Source organism: Homo sapiens, chromosome X (genome assembly GCF_000001405.40).
Source record: "Homo sapiens chromosome X, GRCh38.p14 Primary Assembly".
Classification (NCBI taxonomy): domain Eukaryota; kingdom Metazoa; phylum Chordata; class Mammalia; order Primates; family Hominidae; genus Homo; species Homo sapiens.
Genome location: NC_000023.11, coordinates 120180545 through 120203195, shown reverse-complemented (window position 1 = coordinate 120203195; position 22651 = coordinate 120180545). Strand labels below are relative to the sequence as shown.

General features: G+C 43.5%; 1 pseudogene; it reads left to right on the top strand.

Moving 5' to 3' along the window:
* SFR1P1 (SFR1 pseudogene 1) lies at positions 329-1306 on the top strand (annotated as a pseudogene).
* The last annotated feature ends 21345 nt before the right edge of the window (positions 1307-22651 follow it).

Sequence of the window (22651 nt, the reverse complement as noted above, 5' to 3'; positions counted from 1 at the left end):
TCTCTTTTGAGTTGCAGACTGGAAATCAGCCCTGACTGCATTCAAGTGCTCTGTGACTTTGGACAAGTCACTTACCCTCTCTGGGTCTCCTGTTTTATATAATAAGAACGCGATTTAATTTTGCAGGTTCCTTTGTGTTCTAACATCCTTTGACTTAATGAATCTGATTCTTAGTAAAGTTCTTTTAAAAAAAGAACAAATAATGTGTGGAGGTTTAAATGTTGATAAATGGTTTCTTCACACTTTATCTGTTTTCTTCAGCATGTGAAGTTATTATTTCCATTATTCCCTTCCCGTGAGTCCTTTAAGAAGGGAAAGTTGGCTTTTTGCTCTCTCTGGGGATGGCGGAGGGAGGTACCCTGCTGAGGGGAAGGGGGATGCCTGAGACCTGGACTTCCTCGGGAGTCTGCTGTGGAGTTGAAGGAAAACCAAGATTTCATTTTCAAGATGGAAAGTCCATCAGACTCAGCTGTGGTTTTACCTAGCACTCCTCAGACCTCTGTGAATCCATCATCTCCCTATACAAATAGTTCACGAACACAACCTATGAGTGCAACACTTAGAGAAAGATTAAGGAAAGCAAGATCTTCATTTAGTTCCTGTTATAATGTGGTGAAACTTCTTAAAGTAGAGAATGAAGAAAACGATCAGACCTTTTCAGAGAAACCAGCATCTTCCACAGAGGAAAACTGTTTGGAATTTCAAGAAAGTTTTAAACACATAGACAGTGAATTTGAAGAAAATATAAATTTGAAAAATACTTTGAAGAATCAATGTCTGTGAATCTCAGTCATTTGACTCTGGGTCATGCAGTGCTCTCCAAAATGAGTTTGTGAATGAGAATCTTTCTAAACAAAGATTAAACGATGAAAAAGCCAAATTGGTGAAGCAGGTTCAGGAGAAAGAAGACCTTCTTTGGAGGCTAAAACTCATCAAACTGTATGATCAAAGAATCTGTCTCCATTACAGTTGTTAATAAAGAAGTGGAGGAGCTGTAGCCAGCTGTTGCTTTATGAGTTGCAGTCAGCTGTGTCTGAAGAGAACAAGAAACTAAGCCTTACTCAATTGATAGACTACTATGGGTTAGAAGATAAATTGCTACACTATAACAGAAGTGAAGAAGAATTCATAGATGTTTAATTCCTGATTTTTGCTCCAGAATATCTTTGCGAATGACAACTTAATTAAAAGATACTTAATCATTTTAAAGGGAAGATAGAAACCATTAGGGCTCAGAGGAAGGTATCCCAATGAACATCAATTAAGGGCACTCTAATATATAAATTATAAACCAAGTTCTAGAAGGAAAATTAGTATTTTGGATAGATTTGCCAAAGAAAGCTTGACATTTAAATCATGTTTAAAAAGTCATTTGGGCAGTTCTGGAAACTAGTTTTAATACAATTGTTTCTTTGTGGCAAAAAGTTTTATTTTAAATGTTAAAAATTGTCCAATCTAGTGAATGTCTAAACCTAAAGTTTAAAAATTTCTGCCTCTCTCCTAAGTTTATGCACCTTGTTTACATCCATTTACCACATATTTCCATCTGCTAATCTAGCAGGTAATTAAACCCATATGTCCAAAACTTGGGGAAAAAAAAAGGAACGTTAATGTTAATGCATTTCACCAGAAATGTGTCAAATCACTCTGGGAAAATAAGTGCCTTTTCCCAGAAAGACACTTTGTGACCAATACATTAACAGACTTTTTTTTTTTTAAGCCATATGTTGAAGCAACACACGTCACAACCCAAGCAAAATAAGAAACAAAAGCAAACTATTCAAACACAATCCCCATTAGCCATCCTTACTCTAGATTCTTGGCTTTGTTCCTAGGGTCACCTTTTACCTATATATCTGATTAATGATAATAATAATGATAACTACTAGCCTTTGTTTTACAGATATCCATAGGGCCATTTAAAATATTCGAGGCATAGTGAACGATGCTGAGCAGAGGAGGGCAAGGAGAAAGAGTAGATTTTTTGTTTTTTAGAAAGTGGGTGGCTGGCTTGATTGGCTCACTACCTGTCTAGGAATTAACCCGGGCATGGAGGCTGTACTTACAGGAGCGCGCGTCCTTGCATGGCCTTTGCGGAGAGACTCTCAGGCGCCTTCTGCTGTCGAGTTGACCCTCATGCTGCCTCTGCCCAAGGGTTCTGGCTTCGCACCCGGCTCTCCTGACCAGCACCTTCCAAACTCGCTTTTCACAAATGGCCATTTCTCACCATTTGTGGGGTGATGTGATTCTAGGAGGTAATGTGGGGTAAAGTGGAGCTTGGAGAGGGGGGCTGGCGTGGGGCATGTGTGGAGCCTGAGAGGTAATATACAGATTAGGGAATTGTGAAGGGGAGTCTGTGGGGTAGGGGCGGAATGATGTGCAGTTTGCTGGGGTGAGGGGTGGGTGGCAATGTGCAGCCTGTGGGTTGCTGTGTCACCAAGACCTACTCTCCACTATATGAGCATAGTCCCGGCACGACCCAAACCTTGGTGTCTCCTGCACCCCACAGGCCTTAGCTCCAATCAGGGGAATGGCAGAAAGCTTTCGTGCAGTTTCCTAGTCACGTTTTTAACTTGCCTCCTTTCAATAAACTGAAAAAAATCTGCCCTCAGCGAAGAAACGCTGCATTTTCTGTTATCCTTACCAACCGGAATAGTCTTTCAGCAATATATATTTATTATGAAATCAGAAGCTATTTTTCAACAAATGTGAATATTGAATATGTACCCCCCAAAAAAACACACCCTGGGGGAAGATCTCCCTAGAATCAATGGTCTGGAATCTTTTCACCTGTCTCACACTCCATGCCCCCTTCCATTTTTCACCCCCTGGCAGTCTCTTGATTATGCATTCACCTTGGAACTATGATTCTGGGATCTTGCCCATTTATGTCTGCTTGCTAGCTGTGTGGCAGCAAGTGAATCACCAAACTACTCTGAACTAAAAACACCAACCTCATAGACTCTATTCATTTATTCACTCACTCAACGCACGTTAACTGAGCACCTACTCCTGTTGAACCCTAGGCTGGGTGCTGGTAATAACATCAGTGAACAAGGCAGATGCTTTCCTTACTCTCATGAAATTGGTCACCCAACTGGGGAGCCAGACAATAAACCAATACATACAAAACTGGTGGTATGCATGTCAATGTAAAGAACATGCTAAAACTAGAAAGAATACAAAGACTTCTAATTTAGGATGTAGGTCATGGAAGGCCACTCCAAAGAAGGGACATGAAAGCTGAACCTGAAGGATAAACAAGAATGAGCCAGGTGAAAGATAATGGGCAGTGATTCCAAGCTGGGAAGTTTTCATATATTCCCAAAGGGGCCATGTGACTAGATGGTGAGGAGTGAGGAGAAGAGAGGCTCCAGTAGTTTGAAGAGTTAAGCAGGAGATAGATTAGGCAAAGCTTTGAAGGCCATGCTAAGAATTTTAAATCACATCCTAGGGTATAGTGGAAAGCCACTGTATTATTTTTAATATGAAGATAACAGATGGGAGGGAATCAGGCGTGAGTGCGGGAGCCTAGTAAGGAGCTATTGCAGGTGTTTAGGGAAGAGCTGATGATAGCAGTTTGGTTATGGGTGGCAACAGTGGAAGTGGTAAGTAACCAGATTCAGAGCATATTTTGAAGGAAGGGCACACAGGATATGGTGACATAATATATGTGGGGCTGAGAAAGAAGAAGGTATCATGGATGGTGTCTTAGTCTGTTTGGGCTGCTACAACAAGATATCATAGACTGGCTGGCTTAAACAACACAAATTTATTTTCTCACAGTTCTAGAGGCTGGAAGTCTAAGGTCAGGATGACAGTGAGCTCAGGTTTTGGTGAGAGTCACCTTCCTTGCTTGCAGTTGGCTGCCTTCTCTCTGTGTACTCACTGGCTTTTCCTTTCACATTCCAGTAGACAGAAAGAGGGGGGAGGGAGAGAGGGAAGGGGAGAGAGAGAGAGAATCTTCCTCTTCCTCTTCTTCTTCTTTTTTTTTTTTTTTTTTTGAGATGGAGTCTTGCTCTGTCTCCCAGGCTGGAGTTCAGTGGCGTGATCTCGGCTTACTAATGCAACCTCTGCCTCCCAGGTTCAAGTGATTCTCCTACCTCAGCCTCCTGAGTAGCTGAGATTACAGGGGTGTGCCTCCATGCCCAGCTAGTTTTTGTATTTTTAGTAGAGACAGGGTTTCACCATGTTGGTTGGCCAGGCTGGTCTCGAACTCCTGACCTCAGGTGATCCACCCGCCTCAGCCTCCCAAAGTGCTGGGATTACAGGCATGAGCCACCACGCCTGGTCAATCTTCCTCTTCTTATGAGGTTATAAGGTAACCAATCCTATCGGATTAGGACCCTACCCTATGACCTCTTTTAACCTTAATGATTATCACCTAAAAGCCGAATCTACAAATGCAGTCACATTGGGGATTACAACTTCAACATAGGAATTTGAGGCAGGGCACAATTAAGTCCATTGCAGATGGCAACTAGGTCTCTGGCTGTGAGAGTGAGGATTCAGGGAGGAGTAGTTTTAAGAAATTGCTCTGTATTAGTTTTTTCTTGCACTGCTATAAAGAAATACCTGAGACTGGGTAATTTATAAAGAAAAGAGGTTTAATTGACTCAGGTACGCAGGCTGTAGAGGAAGCATGGCTTGGATGTTTCAGGAAACTTACAATTATGGTGGAAGGGGAAGCAGGTACATCTTCACACAGCCAGAGCAGGAGGAAGAGAGGAGAGGTGCTACACTTTCTTTTTTTTTTTTTTTTTTAGACGGAGTCTCACTCTGTCGTCCAGGCTGGAGTGCAGTGGCACCATCTTGGCTCACTGCAACCTCTGCCTCCCGGGTTCAAGCAATTCTCCTGCCTCAGCCTCCTGAGTAGCTGGGATTACAGGCGCACACCACCACGCCCGGCTAATTTTTGTATTTTTAGTAGAGACAGGGTTTCACCATGTTGGTCAGGCTGTTCTCGAACTTCTGACCTCATGATCCGCCCGCTTCGGCCTCCCAAAGTGCTGGGATTACAGGTGTGAGCCACCATGCCCAGCCGATGCTACACTTTTAAACAGCCAGATGTCATGATTACTCACTATCATTAGAACAAAACTAGAGGGGAAATCTGCCCCTATGATCTAATCGCCTCTCACCAGGCCCCATCGCCAACACTGGGGACTACAATTTGATATGCCTTTGCAATATCAATTGCTGCATACCAAGTTCTCTCTGTTTTGGGCCTCTGTAATAGTCACAATGTCAGGTACTGCTGGTGCCAAAGGTGGTATTACGCATTGAGCTGCCTAAAATCAGTGGTAAGTCTCCAAGAAACCAAGGTCTTGTGCACAGGCCAGATGGGGCTATTGAATGGAGAAACAGTCTCATGAAACATTTTGGCTTCCTTAAGCTCAGCAATGATGGCAATTATTCTTTTTCTCCCCTAGGCAGCTGACATTGTTTTTTGGGAAACAACAGTACTAGGTGTTGGTCATCAGATGGGTCCATGGTCTTCTATATTTCTCACTAAGATGGCCATAACTATTGCAATTCCTGTCAGGGCTTGGAGGCAAAGGCAAGTGGGGCTGCACATGGAAAACACATCACTGCCAATATTTCATTCAGTAGTGGGGGCCATGACAACGGAGGTTAGTAGGAGCCCAAAGTCAGAGAACACGATCTGTTTTCTCCTCATCTTGATGCAAGGGTTTGTGGGGATCACAGTCACCTGTGTACTGGTATCTAAAAGGCCTAAGAAGTGCAATTCCTCTCCACTGTTCAGTTGAACTCTAACCTTGGCATAGGGCCTCTGGGTCCCCTGAGTACAGAAGGATCTTGTTTATAACCCCTAAAATCTTTGGATTTTTGTTTGTAACCCCTAATCTTGTTTATATTTGAAAGCTGAGTGTCAGAGCAAAAGTTGCTCAGGATCTCTGATTTGTCTCCAAATCCACCAGGAGAGGTGGAAGGCCATCACTGTGCAGACTCTAGCGGGACCACTTATCAAATCCCCATGGCCTGGTACTTGGCCCTGAATTTTTTAGTGGGGAGCCCATCAATCTGCTTTCGTGGTTCCATTATTGAGTAATCAGACTCAGAGATCTCTTTGGGAAGGCCCTTGCCCAGACAGTCCAGAAGAGGGCACTCAAGTACTATTTTTATGCTCCCTTTTTGGAGGGGAGGGGTCAAATTTTGCTATTTTATCGGAAGCCATTTCTTCTGTGCCTGAGAATTTCTGAGTTAAGATCTGGATCACACTGCAGATTGATGGACTTGACCTCAGGAGGTGGCTTAATTGGGCTTGACAACAAGCAGGAGCAGCATGAACAAACCCGTAAATCTAAGTCTGGTTAATCTTCTCATCTACCGTTCCCACTCCCTCGTAGTAGACCCAAGAGACCACCAGGAGGGCTGCAGGACCTCCATAGTCTCTGCGAAGGTGGTTGAGACATGTTTTTCAGTGACTAGGTACTCATTATGTGTGGACCAAATCTGTCAGAGACCAAATAGTACCCAGCTGAGGAAAGAGATGGTCGTTGGTATACATACACTCTCATCTCCCCACCTTGCTCCTCCTCCTCAGAGAAAGTGGCCACTATCAAGGCACTATGGAGGAGGGGGTCTGTAGTGATGTACCCCTCAAGGAGCCACTTTCCTTTATGAAGTTTATTTAACAAGATTACCTTTTTCGTAATGGAAGCAAACTAGCCAAGTCTCTGTGGTTTCTTCCCCTAAGCAAGTCTTCCTTCTGGCTTGGCTGCTGGGCATTGACCCTATCTAGTGAGATCACTGGACAAAGTGATTCTAAAGAGCTCTACATTATTTTTATTAGAAGCATGAGTCTCAGTAACATGCTGCATGGCATGTTGTCCGTCAGCCCCAGGGAACTGCTTAGATCTAGGAATAGTTTTGGGGTACAGGTCAGTTTACAGGGTCTCCAACGACTTCTGGCCCCATCATCAGAGAACGGTGTCCAGGGAATTGTTTCTGTGGCTTCTTAGAGCCCCTCTGCTGGATCTCTTATTTGATCCACTAGGTTATCTCAGCCGAGGTGATGGGGATAAACAGGAGGACCGATGGTTACCTTGGAACCAAAAGCTTTTATAAACAATTTTCTATCATCCTCCAAGTATACCCTGTGACTTACAATAGCAATTCCTGAGACCTGCTGGCATGGCTGGTAAAGTGCCACGTGAGGTCTGCTAGCACTTCCCAGGACTCACTGGCAGAGTGCCCGGTCAGATCCTCTGACTCTGGCAAATAATCCATTAGCATCCTCCAGGAGTGCCCTGCAAGGTCTGCTTACACCCATCATTAGTGAATTGCCCCACGAGATTTTCAGGCTCTTTGCTCTTCAGAAACGACATTGTGCATAATCAACTACCCAGCTTGCCATTCCAATTTTTCAAGAGCTCAGCTGAGCTAGAGAGAGCTGAGCTGCTGGGTGTCAGAGTAGTCGATTAAGACGAGTCAAAATAAAAGTAACAGTCAGACTTTAATAACTGCCTTTGATAGTATAAGCAAGGGACTGAACCAGAAAAAGTACCGACTCCTCCATTATTCCATTTTTCCACATGGGGTGGCTCCAACAGGGGTCTGACCACAGATGCAGGGCATCATCATCTCACTGTTAAGGGAGCCCTGAACAAGAGGCTCCTGCCATTTTATGGACCCAGGGGCAGGAGGAGGTGACAGGGAAGGGCTAGGAGTAGAAAAGTACTGAGTACTGAGTCAGCTTGAAGAAAAAAATATTTTTAGGCATCCCCCACTCCCACCATGGCAACAAGAGGTCTTAGCTCAGGTGCTTGAGAAAGGCCTCTGCCAAAGGCTCCTGATAAGGCGGACTCCAAATGGAGGCATCTGGTCTAGGAATGCCGACATGTGTGAGAGCATGATCAGTTCGGGACGTCTGAGTCCTTGACTGCAACTCCATTCACAGACTGCAATGCACGGCTGTGCATCAGGTCTGATGTGGGGAGGGCACGTCCCCCCATGATCCCTGCCAGGTAAAGCTTTTGTAATTGCCTATGGCGAGGCCTGAAAGATCACCCATAGGTTTTTGGCCAAGAGTTGAATTCACTCTCTCCAGTGGTCCTAGCACTTCCTGTGAGAGGTCTTGCTGTCATTGTCTCTAAAAGCATGAAACAAAGGAAGTCAGATCTCTGCCCCTTTGGAATGCAGCTACTGTGGGGCTACGTGTTTCTAGTTTCCATTACAGAAATACTGAATCCACCCGTGCCCCTACCACACCCACACCGGGAACTCAGGAGAAGGGGAGGCAGGGCTGTGGTTTCTGGCCTGCTGTGGCACTAGAAGGTTCATAGCGGTGAGTCTGATCGGCTTTCTGGGTGTCAGACCAGACGGAAGAACCAAAGCCAGTCACCATCATCAGTAGTATTCTAGCTCTGGAGCTTACGTGTTCACCAATGACAGTGTCTGCCCAAATCTTCCTTCTGGCTTGGCTGCTGGGCATTGACCCTACCTAGCGGAAGCTTAGGACACACCTATCCCTGGAATTCTGGGCAAATTCTCCCAGCTCAGGAGAGTGGTGGGCTGTTTTTGGTTCCTCTGCTTTTTAAATTCTATCTGTTATGGTTAGTATCAGGCCTCTGAGCCCAAGCTAAGCCATCGTAACCCCTGTGACCTGCACGTATACATCCAGATGGCCTGAAGCAAGTGAAGAATCACAAAAGAAGTGAAAATGGCCGGTTCCTGCCTTAACTGATGACATTCCACCATTGTGATTTGTTCCTGCCCCACCTTAACTGAGCAATTAACCTTGTGAAATTCCTTCACCTGGCTCCAAACCTCCCCCACTGAGCACCTTGTGGCCCCTGCCCCTGCCCATAAGAGAAAAACCCACTTTGATTGTAATTTTTCACTACCTACCCAAATCCTATAAAACAGCCCCACCCACCCCTATCTCCCTTCACTGACTCTCTTTTTGGACTCAGCCCGCCTGCACCCAGGTAAAATAAACAGCCCCGTTGCTCACACAAAGCCTGTTTGGTGGTCTCTTCACATGGACGTGCATGAAATTTAGTCCCTTAATCATCATCACTGTGGAAGGTAATGTTTATTAAACACCTACAGCATGGCAGGCCTTGTTCTGAGTGTTCTACTTGAATCTCTTCATTTCATCTTCTTTTCAGCCCTATGAACTAATTACTGTGAAAATTCCATTGTACAGATGAGGCTCAGAAAGCTAAAACAACCTGCCTAAAGTCACAAATCCAGTAAGTGGCAGATCTGTGACTTGAAACCCTCTGTCTGCATTGAGAGTCTCTGTTCCTCCTATTTAGCCACACTGACTCCCATACTTCTGAAACCGCCTTTGCAAAATTATGACTAAGACAGTGAAAGAGATTTAACTTAACCAACTCCATTTTGCTTCTAACCTCCAAGCTGTCCTTGTTCATTCCTGGGCGTAGGCCCAACTAACCTTGGAGAAAAACTTAGTTTATAGTTTGAACAAAGATGGTAATAGCCTTTCCCAAAGCAGACTTCCTTCTTGCCTGGGAACTAGATTGCCTTTGTAGGACCAACATTGGCCACAAGACTAGAAATTATAGTTTAGGAGTCATGCAGCTGGAGGCTACAAGATTCTAACCCTTCCTAAACTGCTCCTAAGATCAGTGGTTGAGATATTTTGTAAACCCTGCACTTGATGGATCAGCTGGCACCACCCAAATGGATAAACTGGCTCATCTGATCTTGTGGCCGCCACCCAGGAACTGACTCAGCACAAGAAGACAGCTTCGACTCGCTATGATTTCATCTCCGGCCAATCAGCACTCCTGGCTCACTGGCTTCCCCCCACCCACCAAGTTATCCTTAAAAACTCTGCTCCCTGAATGCTCGAGAAGACTGATTTAGGTAATAATAAAACTCCAGTCTCCCACACAGCCGGTTCTGCATGAATTACTCTTTCTCTATTGCAATTCCCCTGTCTTCATAAATCGGCTCTGCCTAGGCAGTGGGCAAGGTAAACCCCTTGGGCAGTTACACTTCCTCCTCCCACCCCAGTGCCCTGACCCCTCCATGCCATCTCAGCAGCATGATGTTTACATATGGGTCCTAGATTTGTGTAGTGTTTTCCAGGCAGCAAGCTTAGTATTTCTTCCTGGATACAGAGGACATTCAACGAAGCACTTCCCTTTCTGTATTGCAATTAAGACCAATTGTCTTAAGGTGGGAAACTACTCCACATACAAAGCATAGTGGTTAAAGGCAGGGGTTCTGATACTTGGAGATGTCAGGGACTAATAAAGTTAATAAAATTGGGTCCTGACATAGGTTATTATCTTTTTATTTCACTAATTAAGGACATTTAAAACAACACCATTTACACTACTATTAAAATAATAGTAGACTGAACATGGTTGCTCACACCTGTAATCCCAGCACTTTGGGAGGCCGAGGCAGGAGGATCACTTGAGGTCAGGAGTTTGAGACCAGCCTGGGCAGCATAGGAAGAACTAGTCTCCACACATAATAAAAAAGTTAGCTGGGTGTGGTGGTGTGTGCCTGTGGTCCCAGCTACTTGGGAGGCTAAGGCAGGAGGAGTACTTGAGCCTGGGAGGTTGAGGCTGCAGTGAGCTGTGATTGCACCACTGCACTCCAGCCTGGGTGACAGAGTGAGGCTGAAACGGCTTTTGCAAAAATTACAACACTGAGAAAATTATAGCAGTGAAAGAGATCTGATCATGCCAAAGTCCCATCTTGCCTTTGGCCTTCAAGCTGCCCCTAATTATTCCTGGGTTAGGCCAAGCTAACCTGGAGAGACATTTAGTTTATACTTTAAATGATAATAGCCCTTTCCCAAAATTCAACTGCCTTTGTAAAGCTAATGAGAGACCACCAGGCTAGGGGGATAGAGGAGCCTAAATTCTGCTAAGGTGTAGACATAAACGATTGCCAGCTATTGTTCTGGAGGTCACAAGATATGCTACTTCCCCAATTACTCCTCCAGATAACATTACTATTGTAGAACCTAAGACTGGCCTTTTGAGATATCTTTTCAGATTTGTTTGCCTGTCTGACACCAATGGCTTCACCTGGACCTGCCAGCCACTCCTGTGGCCCCACCCAGAAGATATTCAGTGGGCAGAAGGACCATTCCTGCACCCTTATGATTGCACCCCCAACCAATCAGCAGCAAGCACCCATTGCTTAGCCACCCTAACTCCCTCCCTAAAACTATCTTTGGAAAACCCTACCCCTAAATGCTCAAGAAGATTGATTTGAGTAACAATTCTATCTCCCATGTGGCGTGGCCAGCCTTGCATCAATTAAATTCTTTTATTTACTACCATGCCATGGTCTTCATTTGTGCAGCAGGCAGGAAGAACCCATCAGGTGGTTACAATCCTCTCTCAAAATATTTAATAACAGAAATAATATCTAAACCTTGTAAAGAAAGATTACAATGTGGCAGGTTCTGCTCTCAGTCTTTCAATGAAATATCTGATTCAATCCTCATAAAAATCCTGTTCAGTAAGCTTGTTATCCCCATTTTATAGGCAAGGAAATTGAAGAAAAAGAAACAATATGTAAATTGCTTCTGCCTCTGCTGATAACCATTATAGTTAGCATACTATAATATACTGTCTCTCTCTTTCATAAAAGACAAGAGTAACCTTTAGGCCCACAAGGGAGGCCCTGATCTCAGAATTTAGGAATAGCCAAGTAAAACACAGACACCTCTGAGTTTGAGCCTTGGGAAAATGAGCATTGTGTCTGTTTCCTGAAATTTAAGATGAAAACACTAATATCTGTTGTGAGGAGTAAATGACAACATATACCGAGTATTTACACAGTAACTGGCACATAAGAACCTCCGAATACATACCAGCTGTAAGGCTTATTGTCACTCTTCCTCCTTGCACAGCCCTATGAGTTCATCTCTTGCTGGGAAGGAGCTGAGTATGGATACTACAGACTGGTCCTGTTATTGAGGTCAGATAAATTTGATGTTCCTCCTTCCCTCACTCTCTCCCATTTCCTCCTCCTTGACCGAACTGAAACGGGCAGAAATATTTGGGCTTTACTTCCCATTGGTTGAAATTGTTGCTATAACAGCATTCATAAGCATTCTTTCTGGGAACCCTGGGTAAGAGCTGCTTAAAGACTTCTGAGGCTTCTTCAGCTACTGCTGCTGGTACTCCAAACAAGGATCTGATCATTCATGTATCAGAGTTTGTTAGGAATGGGGACTGTCTACAAAAAAAAGTACCTACAGTGGTTCTCCCCATTCATCACCAAGACCCCACACTTGACCATGCTCCCAGCTCTTTCTGCCCATTCTGCCTACCTAGCATCTCATTAGGAAGGTACAGATAAAAAAAGAGCTAGAAAAGGTCATTGGGAGGATCAAGAATGATTTGTCCCCACAGATATGTAAGGATAAAATCCTAGTATTTTCCTTCTCCCGTTGGAACACAGGGCTCCATGGAGAAAGTTCTAAAGAGGGTCTTCCCATGGACAAAGACTTCGCCTTAATTGCTTGGTGTTGGCGGTCATGATTTTGACTCCTGGTTAATTCATCAAGAGCCATTTTGCCAAAATCCAAGTCACAGAATGACCAAGTGAACAAGTGAGCCATTCTTGGAGCAATCAAGTTGCCAATGACTAGTTCATGCAAGCTTAAGAAATTAACTGATTTACAAAACACTTTGTTGTTTTTGCAGAGTTTACTACAATTTACTCTGAGTGAATGGGCATGGCATAAGGGCTATGGAGAGCCAGTTCTATAATGTTCTGTGCCTTCAGACATATCCTCTCCCATCGGTCGGTCTTTCCCCAGTCTGGAATGGGCAGTTTCAGGAGACTGTTTTCCCCCAGTAGATGACCCTCTCTCCCATCCCCAACCCACAGCTACAGCAACAGGAACTTAGCTGAAGCCATCCAGCTGACGCCCAAGACCATTCCAGTCAATGAACTAAGGACAAGCGTATGAGTGTCCCCCCACCCCCATCCCAACCCCATGCTCCAGACCTACCCTCATGGCCACTGAGTGGGACACTGGAAACTTTGCCTTCCTGAGAGAACGGGGCTCTCTCTGAGAGTGGAAACATCTCTGTTGTCTTGGCTCCCAGACTGCTGCCACCACAGTGCAACCACCCAAAGCAAAGGGAATCATGGAAGCTATTTCACGTATGCTGACAAAGCCCTGCCCCAGTCCTAGGGGACCTCCCACCAATGTGAAGAGGTGTGTGTGTGTGTAATACAATTGTGGGGGCTTTTTTCTTTTTTTTTTTTTATTGTACTTTAAGTTCTAGGGTACATGTGCACAACATGCAGGTTTGTTACATATGTATACATGTGCCATGTTGGTGTGCTGCACCCATTAACTCGTCATTTAATATTCGGTATATCTCCTAATGCTATCCCTCCCCCCTCCCCCCACCCCACAACAGGCCCCGGTGTGTGATGTTCCCCTTCCTGTGTCCATGTGTTCTCATTGTTCAATTCCCACCTATGAGTGAGAATATGCGGTGTTTGGTTTTTGGCCTTGTGATAGTTTGCTGAGAATGATGGTTTCCAGCTTTATCCATGTCCCTACAAAGGACGTGAACTCATCATTTTTTATGGCTGCATAGTATTCCATGGTGTATATGTGCCACGTTTTCTTAATCCAGTCTATCATTGTTGGACATTTGGGTTGGTTCCAAGTCTTTGCTATTGTGAATAGTGCCACAATAAACATACGTGTGCATGTATCTTTATAGCAGCATGACTTACAATCCTTTGTGTATACACCCAGTAATGGGATGGCTGGGTCAAATGGTATTTCTAGTTCTAGATCCCTGAGGAATCGCCACACTGTCTTCCACAATGGTTGAACTAGTTTACAGTCTCACCAACAGTGTAAAACTGTTCCTATTTCTCCACATCCTCTCCAGCACCTGTTGTTTCCTGACTTTTTAATGATCGCCATTCTAACTGGTGTGAGATGGTATCTCGTTGTGGTTTTAATTTGCATTTCTCTGATGGCCAGGGATGATGAGCATTTTTTCATGTGTCTTTTGGCTGCATAAATGTCTTCTTTCAAGAAGTGTCTGTTCATATCCTTTGCCCACTTTTTGATGGGTTGTTTTTTTCTTGTAAATTTGTTTGAGTTCATTGTAGATTCTGGATATTAGCCCTTTGTCAGATGAGTAGATTGCAAAAATTTTCTCCCATTCTGTAGGTTGCCTGTTCACTCTGATGGTAGTTTCTTTTGCTGTGCAGAAGCTCTTTAGTTTAATTAGATCCCATTTGTCAATTTTGGCTTTCGTTGCCATTGCTTTTGGTGTTTTAGACATGAAGTCCTTGACCATGCCTATGTCCTGAATGGTATTGCCTGGTTTTCTTCTAGGGTTTTTATGGTTTTAGGTCTAACATTTAAGTCTTTAATCCATCTTGAATTAATTTTTATATAAGGCGTAAGGAAGGGATCCAGTTTCAGCTTTCTACATATGGCAAGCCAGTTTTCCCAGCACCATTTATTAAATAGGGAATCCTTTCCCCATTTCTTGTTTTTGTCAGGTTTGTCAAAGATCAGATAGTTGTAGATAAGCGGCATTATTTCTGAGGACTCTGTTCTGTTCCATTGGTCTATATCTCTGTTTTGGTACCAGTACCATGCTGTTTTGATTACTGTAGCCTTGTAGTATAGTTTGAAGTCAGGTAGCATGATGCCTCCAGCTTTGTTCTTTTGGCTTAGGATTGACTTGGCAATGCAAGCTCTTTTTTGGTTCCATATGAACTTTAAAGTAGTTTTTTCCAATTCTGTGAAGAAAGTCATTAGTAGCTTGATGGGGATGGCATTGAATCTATAAATTACCTTGGGCAGTATGGCCATTTTCACGATATTGATTCTTCCTACCCATGAGCATGGAATGTTCTTCCATTTGTTTGTATCCTCTTTTATTTCATTGAGCAGTGGTTTGTAGTTCTGCTTGAAGAGGTCCTTCACATCCCTTGTAAGTTGGATTCCTAGGTATTTTATTCTCTTTGAAGCAATTCTGAATGGGAGTTCACTCATGATTTGGCTCTCTGTTTGTCTGTTATTAGTGTATAAGAATGCTTGTGATTTTTGCACATTGATTTTGTATCCTGAGACTTTGCTGAAGTTGCCTATCAGCTTAAGGAGATTTGGGGCTGAGACGATGGCGTTTTCTAAATATACAGTCATGTCATCTGCAAACAGGGACAATTTGACTTCCTCTTTTCCTAATTGAATACCCTTTATTTCCTTCTCCTGCCTGATTGCCCTGGCCAGAACTTCCAACACTATATTGAATAGGAGTGGTGAGAGAGGGCATCCCTGTCTTGTGCCAGTTTTCAAAGGGAATGCTTCCAGTTTTTGCCCATTCAGTATGATATTGGCTGTGGGTCTGTCATAGATAGCTCTTATTATTTTGAGATACATCCCATCAATACCTAATTTATTGAGAGTTTTTAGCATGAAGGGCTGTTGAATTTTGTCAAAGGCCTTTTCTGCATCTATTGAGATAATCATGTGGTTTTTGTCATTGGTTCTGTTTATATGCTGGATTACGTTTAGTGATTTGCGTAAGTTGAACCAGCCTTGCATCCCAGGGATGAAGCCCACTTGATCATGGTGGATAAGCTTTTTGATGTGCTGCTGGATTCGGTTTGCCAGTATTTTATTGAGGATTTTTGCATCGATGTTCATCAGGGATATTGGTCTAAAATTCTCTTTTTTTGTTGTGTCTCTGCCAGGCTTTGGTATCAGCATGATGCTGGCCTCATAAAATGAGTTAGGGAGGATTCCCTCTTTTTCTATTGATTGGAACAGTTTCAGAAGGAATGGTACCAGCTCCTCCTTGTCCCTCTGGTAGAATTCGGCCATGAATCCATCTGGTCCTGGACTTTTTTTGGTTGGTAAGCTATTAATTATTGCCTCAATTTCAGAGCCTGTTATTGGTCTATTCAGAGATTCAACTTCTTCCTGGTTTAGTCTTGGGAGGGTGTAGGTGTCGAGGAATTTATCCATTTCTTCTAGATTTTCCAGTTTATTTGCGTAGAGGTGTTTATAGTATTCGCTGATGGCAGTTTGTATTTCTGTGGGATCAGTGGTGATATCCCCTTTATCATTTTTTATTGCGTCTATTTGATTCTCCTCTCTTTTATTCTTTATTAGTCTTGCTAGCGGTCTATCAATTTTGTTGATCTTTTCAAAAAACCAGCTCCTGGATTCGTTGATTTTTTGAAGGGTTTTTTGTGTCTCTATTTCCTTCAGTTCTGCTCTGATCTTAGTTATTTCTTGCCTTCTGCTAGCTTTTGAATGTGTTTGCTCTTGCTTCTCAAGTCCTTTTAATTGTGATGTTAGGGTGTCAATTTTAGATCTTTCCTGCTTTCTCTTGTGGGCATTTAGTGCTATAAATTTCCCTCTACACACTGTTTTGAATGTGTCCCAGAGATTCTGGTATGTTTTGTCTTTGTTCTCGTTGGTTTCAAAGAACATCTTTATTTCTGCCTTCATTTCATTATGTACCCAGTAGTCATTCAGAAGCAGGTTGTTCAGTTTCCATGTAGTTGAGTGGTCTCGAGTGAGTTTCTTAATCCTGAGTTCTAGTTTGATTGCGCTGTGGTCCGAGAGACAGTTTGTTATAATTTCTGTTCTTTTACATTTGCTGAGGAGTGCTTTACTTCCAACTATGTGGTCAATTTTGGAATAGGTGTGGTGTGGTGCTGAAAAGAATGTATATTCTGTTGATTTGGGGTGGAGAGTTCTGTAGATGTCTATTAGGTCCGCTTGGTGCAGAGCTGAGTTCAATTCCTGGGTATCCTTGTTAACTTTCTGTCTCGTTGATCTGTCTAATGTTGACAGTGGGGTGTTAAAGTCTTGGAGTCTAAGTCTCTTTGTCGGTCTCTAAGGACTTGCTTTATGAATCTGGGTGCTCCCGTATTGGGTGCATATATATTTAGGATAGTTAGCTCTCTTGTTGAATTGATCCCTTTACCATTATGTAATGGCCTTCTTTGTCTCTTTTGATCTTTGTTGGTTTAAAGTCTGTTTTATCAGAGAATAGGGTTGCAACCCCTGCCTTTTTTTGTTTTCCATTTGCTTGGTAGATCTTCCTCCATCCCTTTATTTTGAGCCTATGTGTGTCTCTGCACGTGAGATGGGTTTCCTGAATACAGCACACTGATGGGTGTGCTCTTTATCCAATTTGCCAGTCTGTGTCTTTTAATTGGAGCATTTAGCCCATTTACATTTAAGGTTAATATTGTTATGTGTGAATTTGATCCTGTCATTATGATGTTAGCTGGTTATTTTGCTCATTAGTTGATGCAGTTTCTTCCTAGCCTCGATGGTCTTTACAATTTGGCATGTTTTTGCAGTGGCTGGTACTGGTTGTTCCTTTCCATGTTTAGTGCTTCCTTCAGGAGCTCTTTTAGGGCAGGCCTGGTGGTGACAAAATCTCTCAGCATTTTGCTTGTCTGTAAAGGATTTTATTTCTCCTTCACCTATGAAGCTTAGTTTGGCTGGATATGAAATTCTGGGTTGAAAATTCTTTTCTTTAAGAATGTTGAATATTGGCCCCCACTCTCTTCTGGCTTGTAGAGTTTCTGCCAAGAGATCAGCTGTTAGTCTGATGGGCTTCCCTTTGTGGGTAACCCGACCTTTCTCTCTGGCTGCCCTTAACATTTTTTCCTTCATTTCAACTTTGGTGAATCTGACAATTATGTGTCTTGGAGTTGCTCTTCTCGAGGAGTATCTTTGTGGCGTTCTCTGTATTTCCTGAATTTGAATGTTGGCCTGCCTTACTAGATTGGGGAAGTTCTCTTGGATAATATCCTGCAGAGTGTTTTCCAACTTGGTTCCATTCTCCCCGTCACTTTCAGGTACACCAATCAGGTGTAGATTTGGTCTTTTCACATAGTCCCATATTTCTTGGAGGCTTTGTTCATTTCTTTTTATTCTTTTTTCTCTAAACTTCTCTTCTCGCTTCATTTCATTCATTTGATCTTCCGTCACTGATACCCTTTCTTCCAGTTGATGGAATCAGCTACTGAGGCTTGTGCATTCATCATGTAGTTCTCGGGCTGTGGTTTTCAGCTCCATCAGGTCCTTTAAGGACTTCTCTGCATTGGTTATTCTAGTTAGCCATTCGTCTAATTTTTTTTCAAGGTTTTTAACTTCTTTGCCATGGGTTCGAACTTCCTCCTTTAGCTCAGAGTAGTTTGATTGTCTGAAGCCTTCTTCTCTCAAGTCGTCAAAGTCATTCTCCATCCAGCTTTGTTCCATTGCTGGTGAGGAGCTGCGTTCCTTTGGAGGAGGAGAGGCGCTCTGATTTTTAGAGTTTCCAGTTTTTCTGCTCTGTTTTTTCCCCATCTTTGTGGTTTTATCTACCTTTGGTCTTTGATGATGGTGACGTACAGATGGGGTTTTGGTGTGGATGTCCTTTCTGTTTGTTGGTTTTCCTTCTAACAGTCAGGACCCTCAGCTGCAGGTCTTTTGGAGTTTGCTGGATGTCCACTCCAGACCCTGTTTGCCTGGGTATCAGCAGCAGAGGCTCCAGAACAGCGGATATTGGTGAACAGAAAATGTTGCTGCCTGATAATTCCTCTGGAAGTTTCATCTCAGAGGAGTACCCGGCCGTGTGAGGTGTCAGTCTGCCCCTACTGGGGGGTGCCTCCCAGTTAGGCTACTCGGGGGTCAGGGACCCACTTGAGGAGGCAGTCTGTCCGTTCTCCGATCTCAAGCTGCATGCTGGGAGAACCACTACTCTCTTCAAAGCTGTCAGACAGCGACATTTAAGTCTGCAGAGGTTTCTGCTGCCTTCTGTTTGGCTATGCCCTGCCCCCAGAGGTGGAGTCTACAGAGGCAGGTGGGCCTCCTTGAGCTGCGGTGGGATCCACCCAGTTCGAGCTTCCCGGCCGCTTTGTTTACCTACTCGAGCCTCAGCAATGGCAGGCGCCCCTCCCCCAGCCTCGCTGCCGCCTTGCAGTTTGATCTCAGACTGCTGTGCTAGCAATGAGCGAGGCTCCGTGGGCGTAGGACCCTCCGAGTCAGGCGTGGGACATAATCTCCTGGTGTGCTGTTTGCTAAGACCATTGGAAAAGCGCAGTATTAGGGTGGGAGTGACCTGATTTTCCAGGTGCCATCTGTCACCCCTTTCTTTGACTAGGAAAGGGAATTCCCCGACCCCTTGCGCTTCCCGGGTGAGGCGACGATGCCTCACCCTGCTTCGGCTCATACTCGGTGCGCTGCACCCACTGTCCTGTACCCACTGTCTGACACTCTCCAGTGAGATGAAACCAGTACCTCAGTTGGGAATGCAGAAATCACCCATCTTCTGCGTCGCTCACGCTGGGAGCTGTAGACTGGAGCTGTTCCTATTCGGCCATCTTGGCTCCACCAGTTGTGGGTTTTGTTTTCTTCAGTGCCATCTTGACCCAATTTTGAGGCCCTGGCTAGAGGCTAGTCAGTTCCTCTTCTTGAGCAGCTGATTAAATCCACATCTCAACCATTTCCCTTATGGGGCTCTCACATTCCTGGCAACTATGTACCTGCCCTAATCACCACAGGGATAGGTACCAGACAACTAGGGACAGCCCTTTTGCCTAAGTTTCAAATTAACAAATCCACAGGGAGCCCATGAAACCTCCCTTGCCATACCTGGACTGCCTCCTACAGGTATAGCTCTATCCTGCGTTACAACTTCAGGTGTGGCTCTACCTGGCAGCCTTCTCTCATTTGGAGCTGTAAGTAACAAAGAGTTCTGCCTTTCATCTATCTGAATATATTTATGTGGTATCCTTCCATCCAAGGACCCTATGTTCCTGTCTAACATTTTATAATTATGAAACAATATGGGCATAAAGAGGACAATAAGGGAATCTAGTCCCCTGCTTGTTTCTGATTTTACATGAGGCTCTCCAAATTTAAGGTGGGTAGGGGACCATAAGTGGATATAAATACAATTGCCAACAGCCCACAAATGTGGCTCTGGGCACTATGTCAATGAGTTAGCCCTGCTTCACAAGGAACAGCTCCAGTTAAGTAAAAGATTGCTGTTTAATACCACCAAGTCACCCTTGAATTCTTTCCTGGGCAAAGCCAAGAACTCTCCCAGGCTAAGCCCCAGTCTGGGGGCTTGCCTGCCCCACGTCATCTGAACACATACTCCAAGTAATTTTCTAGGTTTAACAGAATTTCAATTAACACAGAAAGATAAGCAAGAAAACACACGGTCGACCTAAAAATAAGTATGGAATTCACTTAACTACATATTTATTAGAAAGACAAAACATTAATCTTTAAGACTGACGATGACTGAAAAATGAAATACTAGTCAATCAAAAAGAGATGTCTGAAGTAGCTGTTGGCATATATGACATTAACAGGTGCCAAATATATATGTAGAATGATGGAAGAAATATTGTTTTCCTTGTTTTGAAAAAAGAAGAATGGCTTCTGATTGCTTCTGAATGCGAGTACATGAAATTGCAGGAAATACTCCACAAAGTAGTTGTATATATACTGTTACATAAACCATATCAATATACTGAAACACTAAACAAAATATGCATATCTTGGAATGATGGGATTCAAACAAGCAGACCTATGGCTGTATTCAAGCTTTGATCATGTCTTACTTTTTAACACGTGAGACTTCCAAATCCCAGTGATACTGTGAGTTCACAAACTGCTTAGCATTCACCCGGGCAAAGGAAAATGGCTTTATCTTTTGAAAAAGATGTCTTAATCCACAGTTAACTTTTTTTTTTTTTTAAGAGAGAGGATCTCACTCTGTTGCCCATGCTGGAGTGCAGGAGCGCGATCATAGCTTATTACAGCCTCGAACTTCTGGGTTCAAGTGACACTATTAACGTTATTTTCTAAAACAACATTTTTTCAGTTTTCCTTTCTTATTATATTCATTGCATATATGTTGCCTTACTTCCTAACAGACAATAAATGGATGGGTTAATGATTATAAAGAAAAAAATGGCAGCACAGAAAAGGGAATCTAATGAGCAAATAGAAGAATGAAAGAAAAATATCTAGTACATACCCAGCAGTCTATTCTGTTTAATTTGTATCCAGAAATATTGTGTACTTATATATTAAAATGAATCCTTAATTCAGCATAATACCCAAGGGTTAGATTTAGTCTGGTTAATGGACTGTTTTAAAGAAATGAGATTGAACAAGAATCCCATGTCATTGTTTATTTCCTCATTTTCTTTTTATTTTAATTAACTAATTTAGAGATGGGGTCCTGCTCTGTTACCCAGGCTGGAGTGCAGCGGTCTGATCATAGCTCACTGCAGCTTTGAACTCCTGGGCTCAAGCAATCCTCCTATCTCAGCCTCCCAAAGAGCTGGGACTACATACAGGTGCATGCCACCACACCCAGCTATTTTTTTCCTAGAGATGGGGTCTCACTATGTTGCCCAGGCTGGTCTCAAACTCTTGGCCTCAAGCAATCCCCCCACCTCAGCCTCCCAAAGTGCTGGGATTACAGGCATGAGCCACTGTGCACAGCTTATTTCCTTATTTTCTGTTGAAAAAAAATGTGAGATTATGTATGTCTATTTTCCCCTCACATTTGAGTCTACTGAACAGAATGGGATGTTTGGTCAATGAATTCCATTATAGCCACTTGTCAGCTGTGATTTGGACAGATTATTTAATCTCTCTCTGTCTTTATTTCTTCATTTGTGAAATAGCAATAAGCTTAATTCACACACAGTACTTGTCACACATTAAGCCTTCCAAAAATTTTAGCTGTTACGATAATCATTGCCCTTTTAAAAATTACACATAAAGCACCACTGCTAGCTTCCGTGAAGGAAACAAGAAGAGTAGGAGACCCAGTCTGAAAATGCAAGTGCTTACCATGCAGGTAGGGAACATAAGAATTACACCCACAAAACAGTTATGTTTCAGTGAGAGGCCATAAGTCATGACTGTTGCCTCTTAATTAGCGATTGAGACTTCAGGTCTACAGGGGGTCTGGAAGGGGAGACAATTGGGCAGGTGAGGTTGAGAAACAGAAGGAAAAAGAAGAAGATGGGTGAAAGGAGGCAGAAAATGTGAGAGGAAAACAGACATGAATGATTTGGCTAGATGAGGAAAGGAGTATAGGAACAGCACAAGCAAAGATAGTCAGAAATGAGCATGGTATATTCCAGAGATTCACTGTGAGTTTGTAGTGTCTAATATGGTTTGGCTGTGTCCCCATCCAAAATCTTATCTTGAATTGTAATCCCCATAATCCCAATGTGTCAAGGGCAGGACCAGGTGGAGGTAACTGGATCACGGGGGTGGTTTCCCCCATTCCGTCCTCATGATTGTGAATGAGTCTCGCAAGATCTGATGGTTTTATAAACATCTGGCATTTCCCCTGCTTGCACTTCCTCCATCTTGCTGCCCTGTGAAGAAAGTGCCTGCTTCTCCTTTGCCTTCTGCCACGATTGTAAGTTTCCTGAGGCCTCCCCAGCCATGCAGAACAGTGAGTCAATTAAACCTCCTTCCTTTATAAATTACCCGGGCTTGGGCATTTCTTCATAGCAGTGTGAGAACAGACTAATACAGTGTCTAAGAGCCATCACTCCAAAGAGCAAACTTTATTGCCATGGCGTTAGCTGAAAAACACTTAGGCTATTAGATTGAATGTGTGCTGATCCCTGAGACTTTCTC